This window comes from Homo sapiens, chromosome 18 (assembly GCF_000001405.40).
Source record: "Homo sapiens chromosome 18, GRCh38.p14 Primary Assembly".
NCBI lineage: Eukaryota > Metazoa > Chordata > Mammalia > Primates > Hominidae > Homo > Homo sapiens.
Genome location: NC_000018.10, coordinates 8,195,085 through 8,221,688, shown reverse-complemented (window position 1 = coordinate 8,221,688; position 26,604 = coordinate 8,195,085). Strand labels below are relative to the sequence as shown.

General features: G+C 40.9%; 1 protein-coding gene across 32 annotated transcripts in view; it reads right to left on the bottom strand.

Moving 5' to 3' along the window:
* The window catches only part of PTPRM (protein tyrosine phosphatase receptor type M), an 839,541-nt gene that overhangs the window by 185,168 nt on the left and 627,769 nt on the right, over positions 1-26,604 (bottom strand). Inside the window, exon 16 of one of the 32 annotated variants that reach the window (XM_017025912.2) lies at positions 8,742-8,778. The exons of 30 other annotated variants lie outside the window; for them this stretch is intronic. In XM_017025912.2, coding sequence (XP_016881401.2) covers positions 8,757-8,778 — 22 coding nt within the window. In that variant the 3' untranslated portion in view covers positions 8,742-8,756. Of the gene's footprint in view, positions 1-8,741; positions 8,779-16,232; positions 17,247-26,604 lie in introns of those variants that run through there. One more of the 32 variants, XM_047437724.1, reaches the window with a different exon arrangement.

Here is a 26,604-nt window from a genome sequence, read left to right as displayed (position 1 = left end):
CGAGCCCCAGACAAACTCAGCACCAGACTTCATCCACTCACAGGCAAACAACTGTTCAAACAAGGCAAATGCCAGGCTGTAACCAATGGAGCTGTTGTACCTCACTTTTGTCTTCTGTGTGTCACTTTCGTTTTTCTATCTATAAATTTTCTCCAACCTCATGGCAGCATTGGCTCTCTCTGAATCTGCTCTTATTCTGAGGGCTGCCTGATTCACTAATCATTTTTCCTTGCTCAATTAAACTCTGTTAAATTTAATTTGTCTAACATTTTTCTTTTAACAATCCATTCAACATTGCATAAGCATCCCCTGTGAGCTCAGCACTGGGCTAGGTACTTGGGATGCAGGGTGACAATGACAGCCCTGGCCTCTGAGAAACTCACAGGTACTGGGATAGACGGCATGTGAAACCAACCCCCACAGCGACAACAATACAGGCTCCACAAAGTGCCAGGGAACACAGGGAAATGGGTGAGTAAACTTTGGGTTATAATTTGGATAATGCTTTTCTTCATGACCATTGCTATCCTAGTCTTCCTTGACAAATCCCTCCAATCATATTTGCAAAATAAACACCCTGTCAAATCTGCAATAGTTTAGTGGGAGGAAAAACAGAAAAAAAAAGAGACTTCAAGTCTAAGTTGTATCAAGTGCCTCTATTTTTCAAGGGCAATCACTTGACTATTATTTCATCTGATTATTCTCATTTTGTTCACTGAGATCTTACCTCATAAGGGTTTTGTACAGTCTGTTGATGAAGAAACTGCCCTCATGCTGATGGATCTCATGAATGATTATAAAGGAGATGTAGGGTTTAATAACATCCATCAGCACATAAATGCTTACATTTAGCTCAAAGAAAACTTAGGTATTAAGAGCATCGATTCAATGTAATTCAATGGTAATTGAATTAAAGGTAATTCAATGGATGACCAAAGAAAACACCCCTATTACAAAGCAAACCAGCAATTACAGACACAGGTGTCAAAACAGATACCCAAGAGTTAGATTAAGTCTTGGCTCTTTTTCTCAAAGGAGTCTTATTCAGGAGGAACTACAGCTTTCCTAACTCTTTCCTAATAAGCTTTCCTCACTTAGTGGATCCACCCACCACACACTGTGTTTTATCTTGATTCTCTCCTTGACAACTGGTTTTAAGTGGGACAGGTTCACATAAAGAATGCCCCAATCCTGCTGGTGGAGGCATACATTTCTCAGCCTTTTCAAAATAGCAAAAGAAAAATGAATCCCTTTGTGGGATATATGTGTGTGTATGTGTGTTGAAAAGTAAGAGTATCTTATGACTGTTCTGTGCTATGTAAAAGAACTCTGATAAATGGCTTGCATTATGTAATGTCTGCATGCTCAAAAAAGCAAGTTGGTACACAGTTTGAAGGACATAAATTCAGAAGCACTAAAAATACTTTAAAGTTCGGAAGTCATCACTCATAGTTTCCACATCTTCTTGGTCTTGTTTTTTCCTTCATCTCTAATCTTTTATCTCCTTCCCCTTTAATTCTCACCATGTTTCTTCAGCAATTTCATTAAAATTTGCAATTCTTTATAATGATCTAGTGATTGTACCATGCGGTAAAAGAAAATCCTAAGCTCCCCACTGACTTGTAGCCAAGAGGAACTCAGAAAAATCTTAAAAATTTTCCTGAGTTCCTGGATGTGATGGGGAGGTCAGACACACCTCGTTATAGCGCCCCCTTTTGGAGTTTAGGCACAATAATTGACCAGCATTAATGTTAAAATAGAGATCATAAGATTGACTAAACATACTCTTTGTGGTAATGATATATCAAATTATAAACAATACCTAAGGCAAGGGTTAAGTCATGCCTGCAAGCCACTGCTTTTGTTAAGCAGGTCATATTGTGGCTGACTCTGACATAGCATGCTTATCTTAACTTAAAACATTCCTTTCTGCTAACTCCAAGTTTTTAGACCAAGTTTTGTTCCTTTAACCAATTGCAAATTAAAGAATCTCTGAATCCATCTATTGACTTGTAAGCCTCCACCTCAAGATATCCCACCTTTATGGGCTAAACTAATCAATATCTTCCATGTATTGATTTATGTCTTTGCCTGTAACTCCTTCCTCTCCAAAATGTAGAAAACTGTAATCTGACTCTCTTGACTTTGTCAGGATCTCTTAAGACTGTTTTTCCTTGGGCCACGGTTACTCATATTGACTCAGAATAAGTTTTTTTTTTTTTGAGATGGACTCTTGCTCTGTCACCCAGGCTGGAGTGCAGTGGCCTGATCTCGGCTCACTGCAACCTCTGCCTCCTGGGTTCACGCCATTCTCCTGCCTCAGCCTCCCGAGTAGCTGGGACTACAGGCGTCCTCCACCACGCCCGGCTAATTTTTTGTATTTTAAGTAGAGACGGGGTTTCACCATGTTAGCCAGGATGGTCTCGATCGCCTGACCTCATGATCCACCCGTCTCGGCCTCCCAAAGTGCTGGGATTACAGGCGTAAGCCACCGGGCTTGGCCAGAATAAGCCTCTTAAAAATCTTTTAGAATTTAGTTTTTCCATTAACAGAGCACTGGTTCCTAAATGTACTCTAAGGTAAGCATCAGGAGATTAGAACTTGCATAAACACTGAAGCTAGAAACAATGCCTTCACTGGAAGCAAGGGGACTTCCCACGCCCTGCAAGTCTCCAGGATGTACTGCATGATGCAGAGAGCTCCATCAGTTTCCCTCCACACTCTCAGCCCTCTCTGGAAAGAAATCCTGGCTATGATCATTCATGGAGAGGTTTTATCTTCCTGAGTTCTAAGAACCAAGAGTTACTACTCTTTTCCCAAGAACATGTTCTGAAAAAGTAGCCAAAGAACCTAAATTCAACTTATTCTTTGGGGGCATCACACCAGTGTTCCATGCAAGAACTGCCAAGAGAAATGTCAAGGCGGGCACTGCTCCTTTGTATGCGTGTAAGTTTTAAACATGTAGAAGGTTTTGACAACCATTACCCATGCTTCATGCACAAAAGTAGGAAAGGAGAAGACAGAGGGCAATTGAGAATCAAAAAATCTCTTTCCTTTGAGCGCTACACTGACCCTCTCCCATGGCTCCCCTTGTCCCCCAAGAGTGCAACAGATAATCTGCTGTTTATTCAAAACCACCTACAGAAGTTAATAGACAGTTATAAACTAATTGAGTGCCTCTGTGGTGCTGTCTCCCCATTCATCTTGCTTATTCAATTTAACTCCCTTAGTCTTCCACAAGGCACAGTGTCCCTGCTGCTCCCAATAGTTGCTTGCTGCAAGAAAGGCCCTAGAACAACAGGAAGCTAATAGTTTAACCGTTCTTCTAAATTTGTTTGACAAAACTGACATTTAGTGCATTATGTCACGTTGTTGGTAATCTGCAATTTACCCCTGGGCGTGCAGTGGATGCTCATTTTATTTACCTCTCATAGTTAAAAGCGTAATTAATATTCCACTCTGTAACAAAGATTAGAGATTTGACAAACATTGTAATTTAAATTCTCCATTATAGCAAACATTAAAATCAAACATCTTCCACACGCCCCACTGCATAAAGGACATGTGTAGCTGTAATTTAACTTTTTAGTTTTTAATACCACAATCTAATTTCTGCTGTCAGTTTAATGAGCTGGAAAACACAAATCTTGTTGCTCTCTATGTGGGAACGGGCTGGGAGAACTGAACCGAAGGGTAACAGCACACCAATTTCTTTCAAAACATATTTCTAAATGTGCCAAGCAGATTGTATTTCTGTAATCTTGTAAATACAACGCGATACTATGGATCCCTGATACCATGTTAATGGTTAAAAAAAAGTGCAAAAAGAAAACATTTCAAGAAAGAAACAAAGAAATTAATCTGGCATTTTCTGAAGTAAAGGTGTATACGTGTAGTGATGTACGGAAATATATGAATGCTGACCACAAACAAAACAAAACAACACAAAGCCTCACTGGGCATACTGAGACTCAGCTATGAGCAAAGTGGTCTTTACTATGTAAATTGGTGACATGGAGTCATTTCCAGGGCACTAAAGGTGGAACAGTGTAGCCAGCCTGCGGAAGGAGTTATCAAAGAAACAATATAACCATTCTAATTTTCCCTGGTATCTCAGCTTCATCAATTTTATATGACTGATTAAAATTGCTATGTAGAATACCTTTAGGCAGCTAAAACGGCTCGTTAAACAAGGAAGCTAGCTGGGAATTACCAGTAATGTAACGAATTTGTATACTAGGAATTTGATGTCTTTAGAAAGAATGTAGGTGGAATATCTGTGGTTAAATTCCCCTCCTCCATCAGAGCTGGGCACAGGGGGAAGAAGGAAGAAATGCCTAGACCCCAGGGGCTCGGGTTCCTCTGCTCTTCCTTCTTGATACGCAGAAACCTACTGACTTGCCGACTTATGCGCAAGACTTCATTAGTCACTGCCAACTTCAATCTGTTTCAGTTATTTTACATTCAGATCCCAGGAGGATGCGTACTCTCTGCTGCAATTTCAGGCTAAACCAAAGATAAACTGATTCACTTTAGAAAATGACAAGCCAGCATGTTCCAACTTAAACTAACATCTCACAACACAGAAGAAAGTATGTGTAAATATTATTAACCTTGCCACAGTATTAAATGAAAGAGATAGAAATTTCTAGGGAAGAGGGTTTCAAAATGGACTAAGAGTTACTCTACGCGAAGCTATTTCCATAAGCAACATGGTTCTAAAGTTCAACACCTCCATTTCCTTTAAACCAGCATATATGCAAAAACCCTCCTTCAACAGATTCTCCAGAGAGGGAAACCTTGCACTCTCTCAAGAATCCCATCAGCTTCACTGGACGAGTTACTTGATTACTCTTGCTGAATATTAACAGCATATTGGTTAATAGCATTTAAAATAAAAATATTGGTCAAAAAGAGCATCTACTTCTGTGAAATACATGTAATTTCCCACAAAATGCCTAGGCATGCCCCATGGAAATAATATGTTACCATATGTCTCAGAGAGAGTATGTCAACAGTTGAAAGAAAAACAAAAAACAAAATTTTTGAAAGGGGTAACCAAATGAAAGTTTTGGTCTTTCAGAAAAACAAAACAAAATAGGAAAAATGATCAAAAATAAATTAAAACAGGTGTATTACCACCCTGATCACAATGAATGAGAGAAAAAGTATTGAAAACAAAGACATCAGCAGAATGTGTTTTCTTCGCCTTACAGGATGAGCAATAACAAGTTTTACATATCTGAACTGCTATTACTGTTATATGTAGATATGACAGACTGTGGTTCTAGAATTGAACAAGTTATTTGTTATTGAGATTAATTAAAATAGGATGCCATGATCCCTTTCAAACAAAAATTCTTGTTATTCAAAATTTTAGTGCACAAAAATGTATACCCCCACATATTTGAAGTCATTGGGACAATTCCAGATACAGAGGATATGCATAAACAGACAATCTTGTTGGAAAAACGTTAAAGAAAAAGAAAAAAGAGAGAGAGAGAACCGGGGTTAGAAATAGAATGACCAGGTTTTTATGACTTCCATGAAAAGAAGGGAAAAAATAAAAAAAATTAAAGAAATACGGGTTTTTGCAACAAAACCAATTAATATGAAGGGAAAGGAGGAAGACAGAAAGAGAACTGCACTCTCCTGTGAGAGGCCCTTAGGCCTGTGCTTTAGCAGGAAGGAATCACAGATAGAGCTTAGGCTAGGGAAACCTGGTTATTGACAGACAGGGGGCTGGGTTAAGTGAAATAGGTTAAATGATGGTTATTCCAAGCCTTCTTTCATTCAAAGCAGCCCGGTTACTCTGCATCTCAAGGAACCAGATAAGAAGCAATAGCTGCCTGGTGTGGTGATCCTGTAATTGCAGCACTTTGGGAGGTCAAGGCAGGAGGATCCCTTGAGTCCAGGAGTTCAAGACCAGCCTGGGAAAAATAGGGAGACCTGGTCTCTACAAAAAATGAACGAAAAAAAGTAGCTGAGCCTAGTGGCATGAGCCTGTAGTCTCAGCTACTCAGGAGACTGAGATGAGAGGATCACTTGAGCCCGGCGGGTATGGGCTGCAGTGAGCTGAGATCATACCACTGCACTCCGGCCTGGGCGACAGATCTTGTCTCAAAAAAAAAAAAAAAAAAAAAGAAAAGAAAGAAAGAAAGAAAAAAAAGCACTAGGTAGGACTTAAGGAAAGAATTAAGGCAAGGAGAGAAAGAATAACTGAGTCTTAAAACCAGAATGACTCTGAACAATTGTCTATCACAACAGACACATGGGAAAATAGGCATATTTCCAGAAATAAGGGAGATGCTTTTATAAGTATCTTCATGAAATTTTGGAAATGGCAGATTCTTGAAAAGTTTCTGCCAAGCAGGAGATGGTAAATACGAACTACTGAATAATATTTGTTATTACTATTTTAAAATATGTTTATACAATTGGCGGACTGTTTATGTGGTGCTTCACCTTTATTGTATTATGTGGAATGAAGAAATAACTATTTTCGGGTTCTCACAGGTCACCTATTGCTATTGCTTCCCAATGTTGTCCCTCAACCATGAATTTTCCTATTTATTATTTTTCAGAAACCCAGTTCTGGATGTAGGGAAGGTATTTTTTAAAAGTATGACTGTTATATTTTATCCTATTTGCTAGAGTTAATAATGTGGTCAAAATGGTGTCAAAGATAGTCAAGCTTAGTCCTATGGAAAAGTGGATTTAAATCATTATCAAGGATGGCCAGGCGCAGTGGCTCACGCCTGTAATTTGGGAGGCCAAGGGGGCAGATCACTTGAGGTCAGGAGTTTGAGACCAGCCTGGCCAACATGGTGAAACCCCATCTCTACTAAAAATACAAAGATTAGCCAGGCACGGTGGCGGGTGCCTGTAATCCCGCTACTCAGGAGGCTGAGGTAGGAGAATCGCTTGAACCTGGGAGGCTGAAGTTGCAGTGGACCGAGATTGCGCCATTGCACTCCAGCCTGGGTGACAGAGAGAGGCTCCATCTCAAAATAAATAAATAAAATCATGATCAAGGATGTTCTGAATTTCGTATTAGAAATACAAACCAACTATTGAAAACTTAGGCTGGATTTAAAACTTCAAAGAGACAGGGTCACTGCAGATAAGAAGAAAAACCCATTAATAGATAAAGAAAACATAGAATACTATAACATAAAAAACTCTCACTTAATGAAACCTAAATGTTCTTTGCCATCATCGGTAATAACTAAACTTTTTAAAAGAATTTAATAAATGAAATTGGAAACACCATTGCTCAAATTTTCAAAGCTGTGGTTCAGAAATTGCTACCTAATATTGTCACTATGTTGCTATAGATACAACACCAAACAGAAGCAGACATTTATAGGAATCCAGAGTCATAATTTTTTAAAAGTTTTCTAAAATTTAAGTTTCAATTTCTTGCAAAACAAGTTTTTATAATAGCTTTAGGGGAACAAGTGGTTTTTGGTTACATGGATAGCAATGAAGTCTGGGATATTAGTGCACCTGCCACCAAAACAGTGTACACTGTACCCCAATAGGCAGTTTTTCATGTCTCACTCCCCTACCTGCCCCCCTCCGAGTCTCCAATGTCCATTATACCATTCTGTCTGCTTTTGCGTACCCATAGCTTAGCTCCCACTTATAAGTGAGAACATGTGGTATTTGGTTTTCCATTCCTGAGTTACTTCATTTAGAATAATGGCTTCCAGCTCCATCCAAGTTAAAGCAAAAGACATTATTTCATTCTTTTCTATGACTGAGTAGTAGTCCATGGTATATAAATATTTCTATAAATATTATTTATCCACTCATCGGATGATGGGCATTTGGGCTGATTCCGTATCTTTGCAATTGTGAACAGTGCAGTGACAAGCGCATGCATGCAGGTGTCTTTTTGATATAATGATTTATTTTCCTTTGGTTACATACCCAGTAGTGGGACTGCTGGATCGAATGGTGGATCCACTTTTAGTTTTCTGAGAAACTGGAGGTCATAATTTCATCCAGTGACCACAGTGAGACTTTCTGCACTCTTCAGAGCTTTCATGTGCCCTTCATGAAGGGCTGTTGCTGTAGGATCCTGGCTCTCATTCCACCAACTGTCACCACCAGAAGCCCTCTGTGGGTGTGAACTGACATCTCAATTGTGGGAGAATTCTAGTAGCTTTGGGAATTCTTTCTCCATTATTTTCTGGGCCTGAATTTATAGCATGATTTAACTAATCCCCATCCTAAAGTTTCACCCATTCAAAAGTAGTATAAACACGGGTGACCGTTAAATATCTGAACCATTGGAATCTTCTCTTGATGACTTTTGTCATTTGTGAAATATCAAAAGAATGCTGACAAGGAGTCCAGTTTATGAGATTGCACATTACCTTCTGCAGCCTGTTCTCCTCTGCAATGCCAAGGCCTTACCATATCAAGGTCATGCTGTTACCTTTCGTGTGCAAGAATGATCCTCACAGAATATACTTAGCGTAAGTGGCCTCTGTTATTTTTGTGATTAAACATCTATAACAAAAAACTGTAAACCCTATGATGAAATGTTCATGACTCACAGGCAAGTGGACAGGGTGCCCCATCATGCTGTGCATCAAGCTCTGTCCGTCACATCATTCTCGACAGTGCTGCACGTTATTTGGCAGGAACCCAGACTAAACATACAAGAGCTTGAGTTCTCTATTTTCAGGCTGGTCTTCTGGAATACTGCATGAAACCCAGCAGATGAGGAGTTGGCCTAAAGGTGGCTAGGAAGAATGTTCATAAGATCTGAAGAAGGAAATTGGAATGGAGACGGGTGGTGGGTAGGGGGAGGAGACAGACAATATGCTTTTGTTTTATATTTATACAATGTACACATTAGTTAAATTTTTAGAAACCAGGTCTCACTCTGTCACCCAGGCTAGAGCGCAGAGGTCAGTCATAGCTCACTGAAGCCTTGAAATCCTAGGCTCAAGTGATCCTTCTGCCTCAGGCTCCTGAGTAGCTGGGACTACAGGCATGCACCATCACACTCAGCTAATTAAAAAAATTTTTTTGCAGAGACAGGGTCTCGCTATGGCACCCAGGTTGGTCTCTGACTTTTGGCTTCAAGCTATCCTCCTGCCTTGGCCCCCCACAAAGCACTGAGATTACAGGCATGAACAACTGTGTCCAGCCATAGATAATTTTATAATTTCTTACATATGTAAATATGTCATTGTTACATACATAATTCTCGTGTGTGTGTGTATACACACACACTGGGAGTGACAAAGGAGCATTAAATTTATAATTAAGAAATAATAATTACTATTACTAATCCTCAGTAATGAAGAAGGCAGTTTCTAGGCCTGTTGGTAAGTGCATTACCTGCAGGCCACACCTGTATTGCCGCCTCTGGGGTGGCACTGGCACACAACATTCTCTCCTTGGACCTGCCCATTCCTCACCTGCTCATCTGTCTGTCCAAATTTCCGTTCATGCTTTAAGACTTTTCCTCTTGGAAGCCATCTTGGTCCTCCTTCCTACCAGGCACAGGCACCTGGTCCTCTTTTGCAGTCCTGACTTGAACTGTTTGAGATGACAGTTTCTTTTTTTTTATCTTTGCCCATTCATTCAACAAAGGTCTTGACATCTTCTGTCCTGGTCTCTCTTCTCACCCAGCTCACCCTACAGCCAGTCATGCCCATCATTCCCTCACAAAACCCTCAACTCCCCAGCTTACCCCTGACACCTGGTCACAGCCCTGCACCGAGTCCACTCCCCTCTGGCTGGCATAGCCATGCTGACGAGTGCATGGCCACAGCCTCCAGCGAGCCCTCCATGCTGCCTGGGAGTTGTGCTGCCCTTCCCAGTCCATTCACCCTTCGTTTCCACAACAGAACAATTTCATGCCTCCCCCTCTGTCTTCAGATCTCCCACTCCACATCTTCACTCTCAGCTGATGACCTTGCTTCCTGTTTCATTGAGGAAAATGAGTCAATCAGAAGAGACCTGGCTGGGCACGGTGGCTCACGCCTGTAATCCCAGCACTTTGGGAGGGCGAGGCAGGCGGATCACGAGGTCAGGAGTTTGAGACCAGCCTGGCTAACATGGTGAAACCCTGTCTCTACTAAAGATAGAAAAAAATAGCCAGGGGTGGTGGCGGGTGCCTGTAATCCCAGCTACTCGGGAGGCTGAGGTAGGAGAATCACTTGAAACCGGAAGGTGGAGGTTGCAGTGAGCCGAGATCACACCACTGCACTCCACACACTCCAGCCTGGGCGACAGGGCGAGACTCTGTCTTAGAAACAAACAAAAAAAAAAAAAAAAAAAAAAAAAGAAGAAGAGACCTACACAAGCTTCCCCAATTCCCCAAGGTTCTCCACCTTCCACCCTGTTCTGATGCTGAGATGACTGTGCCACTGAGACGGGCTCTCCCCCATGCCCCACATTTCACCCCTTCCTGTTGTGCAGGAGGCCGCCCTAGCAATTCTCTCTATTCCTGCCTGTGCAACTCTCCTCCAGTTATTCCTCCAGTTGGTATCCCATTGCTCTGATGCTTTCGATAGCCCAAGTCTTCTAAAGAGCTACTTATTCTCCATCTCTAATTCCTCTCCAAGTTTCTCTGGAACTCGTTCCAGTGAGGATTTTGATCCTATCTGAATCGATGAGTGTGGATTTCTTGTGACCTCCATGTTGCTAAATCCAATGGTCACTTTTTAGTCCTCACCTTACATAATGTGCCAGTAGCATTTAGTCAAGATGAACATTCCTTCCTGCCAGTAGCATTTGGTCAAGATGAATGTTCCTTTCTCCTTAGAACACTTTATTTACTTGGGAACTATCCTTCCTGGTTTGCCTCTACACCACTGGCAATGCCTTCAGTTTGCTTTGCTAGTTCCTCCTCAACTCCCAAACCCTTTAAAGCAACAGTTCCCCCAGGGCTCACTGTCTATACACCTTCAGAACGTCATACAGTCTCGTTGTTTTAAATATCATCTGGTGAAAACTCCAAATTTTATTTCTCTAGTCCAGATCTCTCCTTTGAACTCTACAGTTTCATATCCACCCATGACCTCGGCTTTCCCACTTGGATTCTGTGCTAATTTCCTAGGGCTGCTGTAAAAAGTACCCTAAATTGGGCGGATCAGAACAAGAGAAATTTATCTCACAGTTCTAGAGCCCAGAAACCCAAAATCCAGATGCAGGTAGAGCCATGCCCTCTCTGAAACCTGTAGGGGAAGGACAATTCCTTGTTCTTTCAGCTTCTGGTGGCCCAGATGTTCCTTGGGTTGTGGCAGGACCCCTCCAATCTCTGCCTCTGTCCTCCCGCAGCCTTCTCCCCGTGTCTCTTCACATTCTCTCCCTGTGTCTCAATTTCCACCCCACCCCCAACCCCTTTTTTTGAGGCAGAGTCTCTCTCTGTCGCCTTGGCTGGAATGCAGTGGTGCAATCTCTGCTCATGGCAAACTCCGCCTCCCGGGTTCAATAGATTCTCGTGCCTCAGCCTCCTGAGAAGCTGGGATTACAGGCCCTTGCCACCATGCCCAGCTAATTTTCACATTTTTAGTGGAGACAGGATTTCGCCATGTTGGCCAGGCTGGTCTTGAACTCCTGGCCTCAAGCGATCTGCCACCTCAGCCTCCCAAAGTGTTGGGATTATAGGCATGAGGCATGAGCCACCTTGCCCGAGCACCTTTTTTTTTTTTTTTTTTTTTTTTTTTTTTAATTTTACTTCAAGTTCCGGGATACATGTGCAGAAAGTGCAGGTTTGTTACACAGGTATACCTGTGCCATGGTGGTTTGCTGCACCTATCAACCCATCATCTAGGTTTTAAGCCCCACATGTATCAGTTATTTGTCCTAATGCTCTCCCTCCCCTTACCCCTCACCCTGACAGGCCCTGGTGTGTGTTGTTCGCCTCCCTGTGTCCATGTGTTCTCATTGTTCGACTCCCACTTATGAGTGAGAACCTGCGGTGTCTGGTTTTCTGTTCTTGTCCTTATAAAATATTGGATTAGGGTCTACCCTAATTGCCTCATTTTAAATTGATTATCTCCCTAAAGACTCTGTTTCCAAATAAGGTCACCTTCGGAGGTACTGGGGGTTAGGACTTCAACATCTTTTTGGGGGGACACAATTAAATCCATCACAGATGTCAGAGACATTTCAAATTTCTCAGTCCCCAAACAAATCCCGACTTCTTAATTTCTCCTCATCTCCCACCCGGACCTCATTTTCCTGTAGTTTCCTTCTCAGAAAATGGCAAATCCATCTTTGTAGTTGCTCAAGCTGAAAACCTCAGAGACATCCTTGATTTTTTTCTTGACACTTCAATCTATCAGCAAACCCTGTTGGTCCTACCTTGAAAATACGTCTGAAACCCACCCATCTCTCTCCTGCTACCACTCGGGACCAGCCATCACTGCCTCTGGCCTGTGCTGTCGGTGCAGTCTCTTCGCTTGTGTCCTTGCCTCCTCCCTTGCCATCTCTTGGTCTATGCTTAACACAGCAGCCACACTTAGTCCTCCAAAAGGAACTGGAGACAAGCACAGAAAACTCTTCTGTTCTACAGTAGAAAGCAGACAATGTCACGCCTTTTTTCAAAACCTTCCGACGGGACTCCATTGCATTCAGAATAAAAGCTGAAGCCTTTTACAGCAGCCCCTATGCCCTATCTGACTTCACTGGCTTCCCCACCAGCACAGACCTAAACTGCCAACACTCCTTCCTCTGCTTATCCTGCTCCGGCCACAAGGACTCCTTGCTGTCCCCTCCCAGAGCACGCATGCTTATGCTCTCCTGCATGCACTGCTGTCTGCTCCCTCTGCCTCGAATTTCTTTCCCCTGATGTCTTCATGGCTTCCTTCCTCTTTATGAATCACGTGCTCAAAAGTAAGGCCTTGGCAGGATGCAGTGATTCACACCTGTAATCCCAACACTTTGGGGGGCCAAGGTGGGAGGATTGCCTGTGGCCAGGAGTTCTAGACCAGCCTGGGCAACATAGTGAGATTCTGTCTCTACAAAATTTTTTTAAAAAATTAGCTCAGGGTGGTGGCTCACACCTGTGGTCCCAACTCAGGAGGCTGAGATGGGAGGATCACTTGAGCCCAGGAGTTCAAGACTGCAGTGAACTATGATGGTGCCACTGCACTTAAGCCTAGGTGACAGAGTGAGACCCTGTTTAAAAAAAAAAATAGGCCTTGCCTGGCCACTCTACTTACAAGTCTCACTTACCCCACTCCTTATCTACCTTCCCAGCTTTATTTTTCTCCATAGTACAAATAAGCTACTTATTTTAGTTACATTCTATCTCCTCCCATCAGAAAGCAAGCCCCACAAGAGGAGAGATTTTGTTAATTTTGTTCTCCAAAGCTTAGAACCTTGCCTGGCTTATCACAGCTGCTCATGTGGAATTTGTTAAATGAATGAAGAGACACATATTCAGCATGTACCTGTGCACTAGTCATACTGAGGGTGTTTACTGTGGGATTTAGATAACTCGCCTGCACTAAAATGAACTGTGTACAAGTGGCGTGGCTGCACAGGAGAGCACGCATCAGGCCAAGGCCTGCAGGAGTCTGAAAGAGCTCAGCTTACGGTTATGGTTGCTGACCATGCCCATCCTTTGTTGCTCCCTGAGGTTCTAGACTCTGCTCATTTCCTCTGACCTCGGTAGTCCCTGTTTCTCCTACTATAAAGAATGCTTAAAGTTTTCTTTTTTAAAAAATATGGCACGTAATTTCTGAATATTTGTTGGCAGATATATTTCTTTCAAACTGCCAAACATTTTTCCTAGCTTTACAACACACTAACACACACAAACATACACTTTTTTATTCAGCAACCTCATTGCTGGTCCAGGGATAACACTGGCATTTACTGATTCATAAAATCAGTCCCTCTCTTTGGGACTCCACTCTACCTATTTTATTTTTTCTGTCTCAATAAATTGTTAAAATACAAGAACATGTAATATAATTTCTCTAAAAATAATTCATTTTCATTGCATAAAATCTAAAACATATAGAGAAGATCTAAGAAAATACAAATCATTATTTCACTATTCAGAATTGCTAACACTTCAGAGTATTCCTATCCAGTCTTTTTTATACATTTTTATTTTAAATGACATTTGGATTTTACTGTACCACTTATTTCATCATTTCTCTATGTCATGAATTCTTTTCCTGAAAACACAGGATTTAATGACTAACCGCACTTAATGAAATGTGCACCATCATTTATTTATGTCACCATTATTGGAAACGTAGGTAGTGCCCAAATATTTCACTGTCATATATAATCCCGTGACCATCAATCCTATCTATAAATCACTGCATTGGAAAATTCCCTTAGAAGAAATTCTAAGTATATTAATTTACCTGAGACTCATGTTTGAGTAGTGGTGCAAGCTATAAATTGCTTCCCCACAAAACTGTACCAATTTCTATTCTGGTGAAATATCATCCGGTGAAAACTCCAAATTTTATTTCTCTAGTCCAGATCTCTCCTTTGAACTCTACAGTTTCATATCCACCCATGACCTCGGCTGTCCCACTTGGATTCTGTGCTAATTTCCTAGGGCTGCTGTAAAAAGTACCCTAAATTGGGCGGATCAGAACCAGAGAAATTTATTATCTCACAGTTCCAGAGCCCAGAAATCCCAAATCCAGATGCTGGTAGAGCCATGCCCCCTCTGAAACCTGTAGAGGAAGGACCCTTCCTTGTTCTTTCAGCTTCTGGTGGCCCAGATGTTCCCTGGGTTGTGGCAGGACCCCTCCAATCTCTGCCTCTGTCCTCCCGCAGCCTTCTCCCCGTGTCTCTTCACATTCTCTCCCTGTGTCTCAATTTCCACCCCGCCAACCCCTTTTTTTTGAAGCAGAGTCTCTCTCTGTCACCACACACAAGGATGCCCTTTTCACTGTACCCTAATGGGATTTCAAAAGTTGTCAATATGATGTGATACCTAGCATTTTACTTTGAAAATTTCCATTTTGTTGCTTATTAATGAAGTTGTGCAGCCTTTAATACATATATTGATCATCTGCATCTCCTCTTTTATAAACTGATGGTTCATGTCCTTTGCCTATTTTTCTATTAAAGTATGTGAATTTGAATGGATTACTTTAGGAACATCAGTCATTTGTTGCTTATTAAAACATTCAGGGCCAGGCGCGGTGGTTCACGACTGTAATCCCAGCACTTTGGGAGGCTGAGGCGGGCAGATGATGAGGTCAGGAGATCGAGACCATTCTGGCTAACATGGTGAAACCCCGTCTCTACTAAAAGTACAAAAAATTAGCTGGATGTGGTGGCGGGCGCCTGTAGCTACTCGGGAGGCTGAGGCAGGAGAATGGTGTGAACCCAGGAAGCGGAGCTTGCAGTGAGCCGAGATGGCGCGACTGCACTCCAGCCTGGGCGACAGTGCAAGACTCCGTCTCAAAATAAAATAAAATAAAATAAAAATTCAGCCTTGATAAAGTCTTTTTGTGCCTCCAGTCTTCTCTCTCCCCCTCATCTCACTCTGCATTTCTCTCTGCTTCTACTACTACAATAGCCATTTCTTGGTGCATCTTCACATTTTGTTCATCTTCATGCATCTTCTCTTTTGGTTCATAGTAACCTCTCTTTTCGCTCAACTCCAAAGCAATCATTATCCTCAACTCATCCCTTATTTTAAATTAATCACCTTTCAATATGTATAGTTCTTATGAGATCCATTAGGTTACAGACCATTTCCCACATTTCACAGACCTCACACGCTGCCACCAAAGAACAGTGATCCTAATCACCGGGCACTCCAAATATGCTGTAATGCCAAAATGTGAGTGCTGGCTTTAAAAACGTTAGCAATTTTTCTCTCATTAAAATTCATTTTCTCTAAGAGGGAAAATGCCATCAAATATAAACAACTCTCAGATAATAAAATTCATTATGCAACTAGATAAGATTATTTTATATTACATAGTACAATCTGACACTATGTCCTGAGATGAACAAGTAAGTAATTATGTATGAGAGCTAGCAGTGTGTAAATGGAAATATTTCTGGCAGGCATGATATCCACTGAACATGTGTTATGGGTAGTGGATGTGTCAAATTATTTTTCTAACTCAAGCATAACGTATCATTCCAAATATAACTATATGTGGATTACAGCAATACAGCACATTGCTGTACTCTAAAATGTCAAAATACTGAAAGTTATAAAGTACGTGATCAATTAAACATATAATAAAGAAATAAAGAAAGCAAACCCAAAGGACTCAGTGTAGTTTATTTCTAGTGATGAAAACCATATGCATGTTTTGTATATACCTCAAAAATGAAATCATAAAAATATAACCTAAGGCTATACCTGTATGTAGGGATAATAGGGATGTTTGTTTGGAGAACTCACATTGCAGGGTTTTTTTTTGTATTGAATTGTTAAACTTGATATATTTTCCTTTTATGTGCAGGAATAGAATTTAGAGCAGCGAGAAATGACTGTTTCTTTGCATACTGAGTGAATAGTTCTTAAAGCTTTCTATTTATTAATGTTTTAATATTTCAGCTTTGAACTTTAGATCACATTCTTAATTTTTTTATGATGAACATATTTTGTTCCTAAGGCTAGAACGACTGTCTAATTGTCAAGCAAATTAGATAGGCTGAAATCATTTAGCCACACAATATTTTGTTTAACAGTGTAAGAGAAACGCAATAAAGAAAATCTAAGCACTTAGCGGAAACTTAACCAGTAAAATATCATTTCATGTCTCCAAATGCATATGAAGCAAACAGAATATGGCCTGTGCTGATAGCCCAAACTCTTTCCACACTCTGACCAGAAGTATCACAAACCCTGACATACTAGAGAGAAAACACGAGCCTGGTAATCCTCAAAAAAATTGGTTTTGTGATGGGAAGTGTTAGGGTTTTTGTTTTTGTTTTTTTTTTGTTTTTGTTTTTTTAGTTACCATATATGGCTTACTTATGAAGAAGGGCTCTCAATGCAGTCATTTTCTGTATCAAGTCCAAGTGTGATTGCTGAACACTCCTCAGTGATGCGAAGAACAGAGAAAATGGCCCTCCTAGCACATGGCTCCCCTTCTTTTGCTAATAGGACTCCTTGTGGAGGCAGCTGTCAAGCTTGGGTCATCTCCCTTCAAGGTGGAATCAGTTTCTCCCCCAAAGCTCTGACATCAAGGTACAGTCTTCATTTTTTTTTTCTTTCCTCTTTTGGTGTTTTCTAAGATGGCACTGTGCTTTCAAAACGAATCTTCCTTCTATTTATATTTCATTAATAAAACCTTATCAGAGTATTTCACTAAATGACTAGAGGGATTTAAAAAGAAAACAAGCCTATTTTACTTCAAAATGTTAAGACTCAATTCACTTCCCCACACAACTGAACACACACACATAAAGAAGAGGATAAAATACCTCCCAAAGTATGGTAAGTGATGACAAGTAAGAAGTGTCACATTTAGGGGGAAGCTAGGCTGCTGCTGCTGAAACTGCAAGCAGAAGAGGTGTTCAATAATGAGTGCAATTCCCCACCCCCAATCTCATTCTGCTCACAAACCAGAGAGCTACACAGCTAAAGTCTGCAATCTCTGTTTAGATCCTTTGACATCAAGTGATTTGAATTTCTTGGGTTTATTTTTCCAAGAAGTCTCAGAGAAAACCATCTTGTGGTTGGCATGTGGCTTAGGTGAATCCTGCACATATGGAACCAGTGACTCTGGAGGTCGCTGGGTGTACTGTTACGATGTATTTTCTACCCCCTCCTTGACAGGGAAGGACTTAGGTGGGCTTGCCTCTCCCATTTAGCTTTCCTGACCGAGCATAAGAAAAATATTTTATTTATTAGTAGGAAAGCTAATTTAGAAAACTTTTACTCGATTAGAAGAAATAAGGAATGACAAAAATGAATCTTTGCAACTTCTATTTTTCACTATGCATGTGTGTGTGTGTTTACTTTCTCACACACACACTATAGACATACATACATATATACACTTATTTTGCCAAACCGTTTGAAAGTTGAAGACATTATGACAATTTCCCCCAATACTTTAGCATGTATCACCTAAGAACAAGGAATTCTTCCATATAACTGCAGTATTACTACTCTCAAGAAATACAACATTGATACAAAAATATTATCTAATATATATGCATATCTACATCTTCCAAATTTTCCCAATGTCTTTTAAACTTTTCATTTTGCTCAAGAATCAAGGATCAAGCACCACATTAAGTCATCATGTTTCTTTAACCTAAAACAATCCCCAGCATTTCTTCCTTTAATGACACCAACCTTTTTAAAGAATGAAAGCCAGTTGTTCTACAAAAACTTCCGAAATTTGTGTTGTTGTTTTCTTTTAATACAACACATACCCAGAAATTCAGTCCGTAGTAGTTTGTATCATACTTCTCTGATTTCTAGCTATTTTAAACAGCCAAGGAACTCTACTAATGTTAATGTATACAATACCAGTTACATCGTGTTACCCTCAAAGCCCAGAATGGTGCTACCCTAGAGCTGCTCCATATAACTGAATCAGATGGGAGTCCCTCCTTGCATTTCCCAAGAATAATCTCAACTACGTAGATATACATTCGGTCATGTAACTCAGTAATTGCACAAATATAATTCAGTTTGATTCGCCGTAACCAAGAAAATATATTTTATATTTATAAATTAAAGTGCAAACTCATTTTTCGGGGTGATGAATGGGAAAGCAATCATAGCCCTATGCTGCCTGAGCTGAGTTTAGCAGTCCCTTCATGGAAGAAGAGGAGGCCTGTGGAGACCTATACACTGGCTGGCAGGGAGATCAGTCCACAGGCTAGGCTGGGAGGCTTTTCAAATAGAAAGAAACGTCTACCGGCCCAATTATATTTTATTAAGATAAGGTAATTGCCTAGGAGGTGAGAGAGAACAGGACAATCGAGACAGAGTCAAGGAGAAAAATGCTTAAAAGGATGATGGTCTTGATCTGTAAAGAAATAAAAAGCTGCGATGAGGTAAGGAACTGAGATGGTAGACAGTTTACAAGAATTATCAGTAGTATGGTAAACACAGGCAGTTCCGTGAGAAACCTGCCAATTTCTTACCATTAAAAAAAAAAAATCAGAGAACAAATGAAAGTGGGAAAGAACTAAAAATGTGACTGAAACCAGACAGAAACATCTTAATCTTTCTCCCCTCTCCCCACTTTTTTGCATATGGAGAAATTTCTGCATGCCATAGGCAAAAAGTAGAGGTGCTTACTGACTGTTTTTCAGTCCTCTGGGCCCACACTGAGCAGAGAATGAACAGAAATATGATAACTAGAATATGGCAGAGACGCCCCTCTTCTTTCTAGCACCACTTCAAAACATGTCTATTTACTGTAAAATAGGTTTGTATAATATTTTGAAATGTGACCACTAGGCATTGCCAAGGGAGGGCTGGGAAAATGGAATTTGATTTCTGGTTAATCTTTATTTTCCATTCCCTTCCCTCAAAATAACTCGTATGAGATCTTATAATAATCCAGTCTGAGAAACTGGAAGCTCTGTGAGTCTGAAGACATGAAGGTCAAGCCCATGATGTGCCTTGCCTTGAAATTCAAGCATCAGCATCAAATTTGAACAACACATTTAATATTCCAGTACTTTTTCCAAAATGTTTTATGTTGTTTAAGGAGGAAGAAAACTTGAAAAGCACAATGAAGTCAGTAAACATGTGGAGAAGAATCCATGATAATGTTTCTGTCAAGGGTTCACCACGCCTTTAAACAGCAAAACACATCAAAGGAGGTATCATGTGCTTGAAGGTGTTCTCCAATGATGTTGAAATGAAATGACGGACTGTGCACTATGGACTGAATTGTGCCCCTCCAAAATTCATATGTCGAATCCCTATCCTCAATGTGATTATAGTTAGAGATGGGGTATCTAGGAGGTAATTAGAATTAAATGAGGTCTTTAGGGTGGGTCCTAATCTGATAGGATTGGTGTCCTTATTAGAAGAGGAAGAGAACTCTCTTCTACGAGAGGGCACAGCAAGAAGGTGGTCATCCACACACCAGGGAGAGAGCCCTCAGCAGGAAACGAATTGGTCAGCACCGTGATCTTAGACTTCTGGCCTCCAGAACCGTGAAAAATTCATGTGCATTGTTTAAGCCACCCAGTCTATCGTATTTTGTTATGGAAGCCTGAGCAGACTAATAAATAGATATAGTAATAGCACCACAACCTAATTTTGCTGTGGTATTCATAAGTGTTTTTAAAAGGACACAAGTACTAATGAGCCATTCACATATTTAAAAAAATTATCACCTGAAAAAGAAACAATCATTAATATATATGTAAAACCGAAGATTATATTTTAGTTTTTAAATCTTTTCTTTTTTGTTTTTGGAGACGGAGTCTTGCTCTGTTGCCCAGGCTGGGGTGCAGTGGCACGATGTTGGCTCACTGCAACCTCCGCCTCCCAGGTTTAAGCAATTCTCCTGCCTCAGCTTCCCGAGTAGCTGGGGCTACAGGTGCGCACCACCATGCCTGGCTAATTTTTGTATTTTTAGTAGAGACAGGGTTTTGCTATGTTGGCCAGTCTGGTCTTGAACTCCTGATCTCAGGTGATCTGTCTGCCTCAGCTTCCCAAAGTGCTGGGATTACAGGCGGGAGCCATCGTGCCTGGCCTTAAATCTTAATTTTTCTAATCTCCATGTCATAGTATTATTAATCATATTAATTAATAGGAGAAAAAACTTATTTTACCATTTAGAGTAACACAAATATACTTTATTAAATTATTGAACATTATAATTTATGTATTGCAGTTATGTAAAGGAATATATGTTTTATCTTTTAGGAATTACTCCCAGGTATTTAGGAGTAAAAAGGCTTCGTGTTTTTTACTTTCTCACACATATACAGAAACACACAAATGTGAAATTTTAATAATTGGGGAATCTGGGTAAAAGGTATATGGCAATTTTTTGTACTATTTTTATAACTTTTTGTGAGTTTGAAATTATTTGAAAATAAAAAGTTTAAGTTAAAATAAAAGACTACAACTTGCATGATGTATAAATGTTAGTGTTGTCGCCGCTGGAACTAGTGATTTGTGCTGCGTGGGTCACGGCACAGGCCAGATGGGCTGCGTGCGGTGTGTTCAGTTCCCCAGAACAGAGACTCCAACTTCCTCCCTCTAACATTCAAGAAAGAACAACTGAATGCAGTGGAAAGGCCTCACAGGGCCAGCCCTGAGCCTGAAGGGTGAAATCAAGTCAAATGCGTAAAAACAACAATGTCTTGTGACAAGGTGCCAGTCATTTGCCCCACCTTCAGGCTAATCTAGCAGGGTCGTGCCCCCACCCTGGTTTTGCCCCACATGACTGCTGAGTCACATCCCAGCTCCCTCCCCACCTCCAAACTGTCCACCTGGGTCTCGGTGGGGGCACAGCGATGGGATCATAGAGAGGCCCCTGCACCACGGCAATGATGTCTGCCATCCCAGGCACTGCTTTTGAAGTCCCCAAACTTGCTCTACTTTGTAACCTCTTAAGGCCTTGTAACTGTAGAAGTTTATATTCAGTCCCAAGGACACTGCTATCAGGTGAGTTTCAGGGCTTCCCCAAAGCTCTGTGAATAGTCTGTAGCCTGTAGACCAGTCATTCGTCTAGCACAAGGACAGTTGTAAAGTCTCTTTTTGGGCATGAGTAGCAATATTTATCATATGTGACAAATAATACCCATATATTATTTAACAACAAGATTTTTTTTTTCTGTTTGGAATTGGGGCTTTGACTCAGAAAACTGGGATACAGTGTTAATTTCTATTCATTGTAATCTTATTTATACACACAGCGCCAATAAAGCCTGAACAAAACAAAGGTAAGAGAATCTTGTTAAGGGAGGGAACAAAACGCACTCTTTGGACTATAGAGGCATTTGACAGATGCAAAAATGAATCAATCACTGCTCCCTCTCCAGGGAGAATTTGTAGGATTTATTTAGGCTCATTGTTTCCCTGTAGGACAGTTGGAAGTGAAATACCTTCACTTCAATGAATCTTGTCCCTGTGATGTATTACTTAAATAAATAATAAATGAATCTTCCTGGGCAACTAAGCTGTAGGTGAAAACAGAAAACCATGGTGTAGATTTTTCTTGAGGAGACCTAGAGCATTCCCTATCTTTTGTTATGGAGCTACACTGACCTCAACTTTACTTTGCTTAGGTGTCTCCTACTAATATCATCAAAGAGCTCTGCTGACCGGCAGACACAGCGCACTATCCTTTTGCAATGTTATTCAGGGTGTAAACGTTCTCTTTTTCTTCCCAAGACCTGTGAAGCCTGAAGCAGGATATGAGTGAGGAGCGCAGGCTCTGCGTCACAGTGCCTGGCTGTGGGTCCCTGCTCCTCTGATCACTGCATCTGTTACCTTGGGCCAGTTACTTAAACTCCACACTTCAGTTTCCTCAGCTGCAACATAAGGATAATACTAGTGTCTCCTTCACTGCATGTGGTAAGGCTGAAATAACTTAAGGCATATAACAGCATAAACAGCTGACACTTACAGTAATGTTAGCACTCAAAGGATTTCAGTGTTATTATTATGAAGAAAATCAAGAGGACCATGCAGATGGGGGCGAGAGAAGATGAGCCCGCCGAGATGGAGCAGGCATGATCTGATCTCTCCTTATCCTGAAGCTGTCCTCTGCGCATCTGAGGAGGGTCTGGCCAGCCTCCTCCTCCTCTAGTCTCAGGCCCCAGATGGGCTTTTGCTGCCATCATTACCTGAGTTTGTCTGCTCAATAATAATTGGTAACATGGACAAATTAGCCCAGCCAGCCCAGTTAAATATATCACCTTAATGACTGAGTGATTTCATTTATTCTGGAATCTGGCATTTTGGGGGGCTATCGGTATCTTAGCCCATCTAACTGGGCAATATGTCCACCATATCTAGATAAACAGAGTCAATAAGACAGCAGTCAATCCCACTGGTTGTAGCCAAAAGGGTAAGGTGGAAAGCCGTCGGTTCGTCATTAAGAAAGACAGATGTAGCCCTTTGGATTACTTTCTGTTTAGATCCTCTCCGCAATACAGAACCAGCACTGAGCAGACAGTGGAGCACAAGCAGGAGCTCAGTGAATACCTGATGGGATGATGATCCCATCTGATTTCTTAGAAATACGGAGGTATGGCTTTCATTTTAAAAAGATACAACTTCAGTCTAAAATAATAATTCAATTTCTAAAAATCAGCGGCAAAATTTTGGCCGGGTGTGATGGTTCATGCCTGTAATCACAGCACTTTGGCAGGCCAAGGTAGGCAGATCGCTTTAGCCTAGGAGTTTGAGACCAGCCTGGGCAACATGGCAAAACCCTGTCTCTACAAAAAAACACAAAAGTTAGCCAGGTATAGTGGTACACGTCTGTAGGTCCCAGCTACTTGGGAGGCTGAGGTGGGAGGATCACCTGGGCCTGGGAAGTCGAGGCTGCAGTGAGCCATGTTTGTGCCACAACACTCCAGCCAGGATGATGGGAGTAAGATCCTGTCTAACAACAAAGAAAAGGCAAAATTTTACTTTAGTGAAATGAATGCACACCCTCCCTCTAGTTCATAGCCTAGCAAAAGGAACTAATCTTCCAACAGGTACCCAGTTACTAAAAATTCCAGAGGCAGAGTGTCCACACAGAAGAAGGTGGGAGAGAGCAAGGGTGGCTGTTTCTACCCATCAGACTCAGGTCACTCCATCCCACCTTCTCCATGATCCCTTCGAGGCTGGGATTCCTGGAATGAGCTTCTAATGACTGGTGAAGTCCTGCATGGAGTTCCAATGAGAGTGTGTCGGCAGTCAAATGCCTTGGCTCTATTTTCCTATCAAAGAATTAGAGAATATTATCTTGTTCAGCAACCATGACAGAAAAACTAAACTTCTCTTTCACTATGTGTGAACATTTGCCTGTTAGGACTGCTTACCCACTGCTCCGTAAGGCTTTTTGTGTGTGGTGTGAAAGAGAAAGTGCTGATGTGACTGAGGAGTATATTAGTGAAGCCACAGGACAGCATGTGGCCTGATTAATCCTATGAACTCAGCATTAACGTATCGCTGAAACATAATGCAGATTATAAATTTATGAATGTCCAATACCGACTCCCAATAAACAGAAAAGCCTACTCCTAAGCAACTTCTTAATTCTGTTTCTTTTAACCTTGTCCTGTGAATGGAAATGAAAGTTCTAAACTAGTGACTCATGAAATTCTACTAAGTGATAAAAAGTAACATTTTTTGTCAGTTTTCCTATCCTTTAACTATAAAGAAATTTAAGAGTTGATGACCACATTGAAATTTGTATGTAATAGTCAACTGAGTGATTATCAATAATGCTTCATAGATGCTTAGCTTAGTGACACGGAATCTGTAGAGCACACTATCTTCCGTGAAAAAACACTGAGTAAATAGCAACATCCTTACCTAAAATAACACATTATAAGAACCTTAAATAATTTACCTCATTACATAGAACATTGGCCTAACGCTCATAAAGACCATGACTATAATGTTATTTAATGCCCTGCTGTTCACTCACACACTCAACAACTATTTCTGAATATTTCTTATGGGCATAAACTACTCTAATCTCTCAAAACAAACCAGAGTTAAATATTGTCCTTTACCTTGAAGTGCTTGAAATAAGCATTTATTTGGCTTTCTACATAATACACTCCCAATTGGCTACCCAGACACAGTCAAAACTTAGCATCCTTCATGGTTCTTCCGTTTGCCTGTTTGATGCCTTCAAGTCAGACGTTTGCCCACGGTATGATACAGATAGACATCCCACCACGCACTTTAGGCAATTTTGAATTTCTGAGTGCTAGCAAACTGCCCTGAGGTGACATCAAGGTTCAAAAGAACAGTGACTTCTAACCCAAGCTCATAACAAGGGAAGTAAGGAACATATCGTGACATATGGGAACATGTCAACGTCACACACAATTTAGAAACGTCAGTGCTGGGCTCCCTACAAATGATAAATGTTTTCCAAACTGCTTTTTGACATAATCTAATGGTCTTCCTTAACTGACTTCGTGTTGAATTTGAAAAATAATTTGAAAGCCAGCTAAAATGAGTGTTTTTCTGCCAATCTCTCTACTGGGCACTAGTCCTAGACAGCTGAATATTTTCAGCAAATGCTATGTGCAAACAGGATAGTTTCTGAGTTGTACGAAACCAGTATGCTGGCGCACTGCTGACCTGCGCAGCACCTCCTTGTATTGGCATAGCACTTTCCTTCAAGGAGGTAAACACTGCTCATTCCACTCTCTCCTGTTCCCATCTCTCTAACAGTAATAGCACTAAGGAACAGAGGTATAGGACTTCACCTGAAAATAAAAGCAAGCATCTGACAGCTCTTGTTACATCTGTAGTGATGACCTTTTCCTGATCTAAGGCAGCCTAAGGCAGGCTTACCTTGGAACTTCTGAAAGGGATTAAGGTGACAGGCCCCACTCCCCGAGTTCTTAAGAAATGCTGAGGCAAGATAATCCTACAAAACTTCCTCACTGCCAGCTATATCCAAGCCAAATTACGGTTCACACTCTAGGGGATGGCTCATTGGATAGAAGCAGGTGCTCAGTCATTTTAGTTCTTTAAGACCTTTCTGAAAGATTGTTACCTCTAGCCAGCTGGTCAGAGTGCTTGAGTGGAAAGGAATACCAACTAACTAGTAACGATAATTTTACCTAAGTTTAGATAAGGAGTCAGCTGTGTTCTTTTCATTTTTTCTCATATGATGTGAGGATTGATTTTTTTGTCTTTATTTTTTATTTGTATAACATTTAATGGTACAAGTGTATTTTTGTTACATGGGTATACTGCATAGCGGTGGAGTCTGGGCTTTCAGTGTAACCATCACCTGAACAGTGTACACTGTACCCATTAAGGAATTTCTTCTTCACCCGACGCTCACTCTTCCACTAACTGGAGTCTCCAATGTCTATTATTCCACCCTCTATGCCCAAATGTACACATTATTTAGCTCCCACTTGTAAGTGAGAACAGGTGGTATTTGACTTTTTGTGTCTAAGGTGTTTCACTTAAAATAATGGCCTCTAGTTCCTTCATGCTGCTGCAAAGACATGACTTCTTTCAGTCTTTAATGGCTAAATAGTATCCCATAGTGTACAGATACCATACTTTCTTTATACAATCATCCACTGATGCATACGAGGTTGATTCCACATCTTTGCTATTGTGAATAGCGCTTTCTTTTCCTTTGGGTAGATAACTAGTAATAGGATTTTATATTTCTTTTTTACTGTTCACTAACCCATTCAAAATGGTGGTGCTGGCTGAGTCAATCCACACATCCATCCTAACAGTTGCTAACCCTTGTTAAAGGCAGCCATCACTGGGTTCACCTTATACTAATTTCATGTGAGATGGAACCACGAAGCAAATACATACTTAGGCCAGAGGTTACAGGTAGCCAATGAAGTCCTTGTGAAAGGCCTCTGTAACTAGCTTTCCCAGAACATTATTTAAAAAAAAAAAAAAAAAAAAAAAGAACTTCTAAGAGCTGAGAATTGACTCAACTCCATTCTAGCTACTTCCCAGTACTCCTGGCCAAAGTG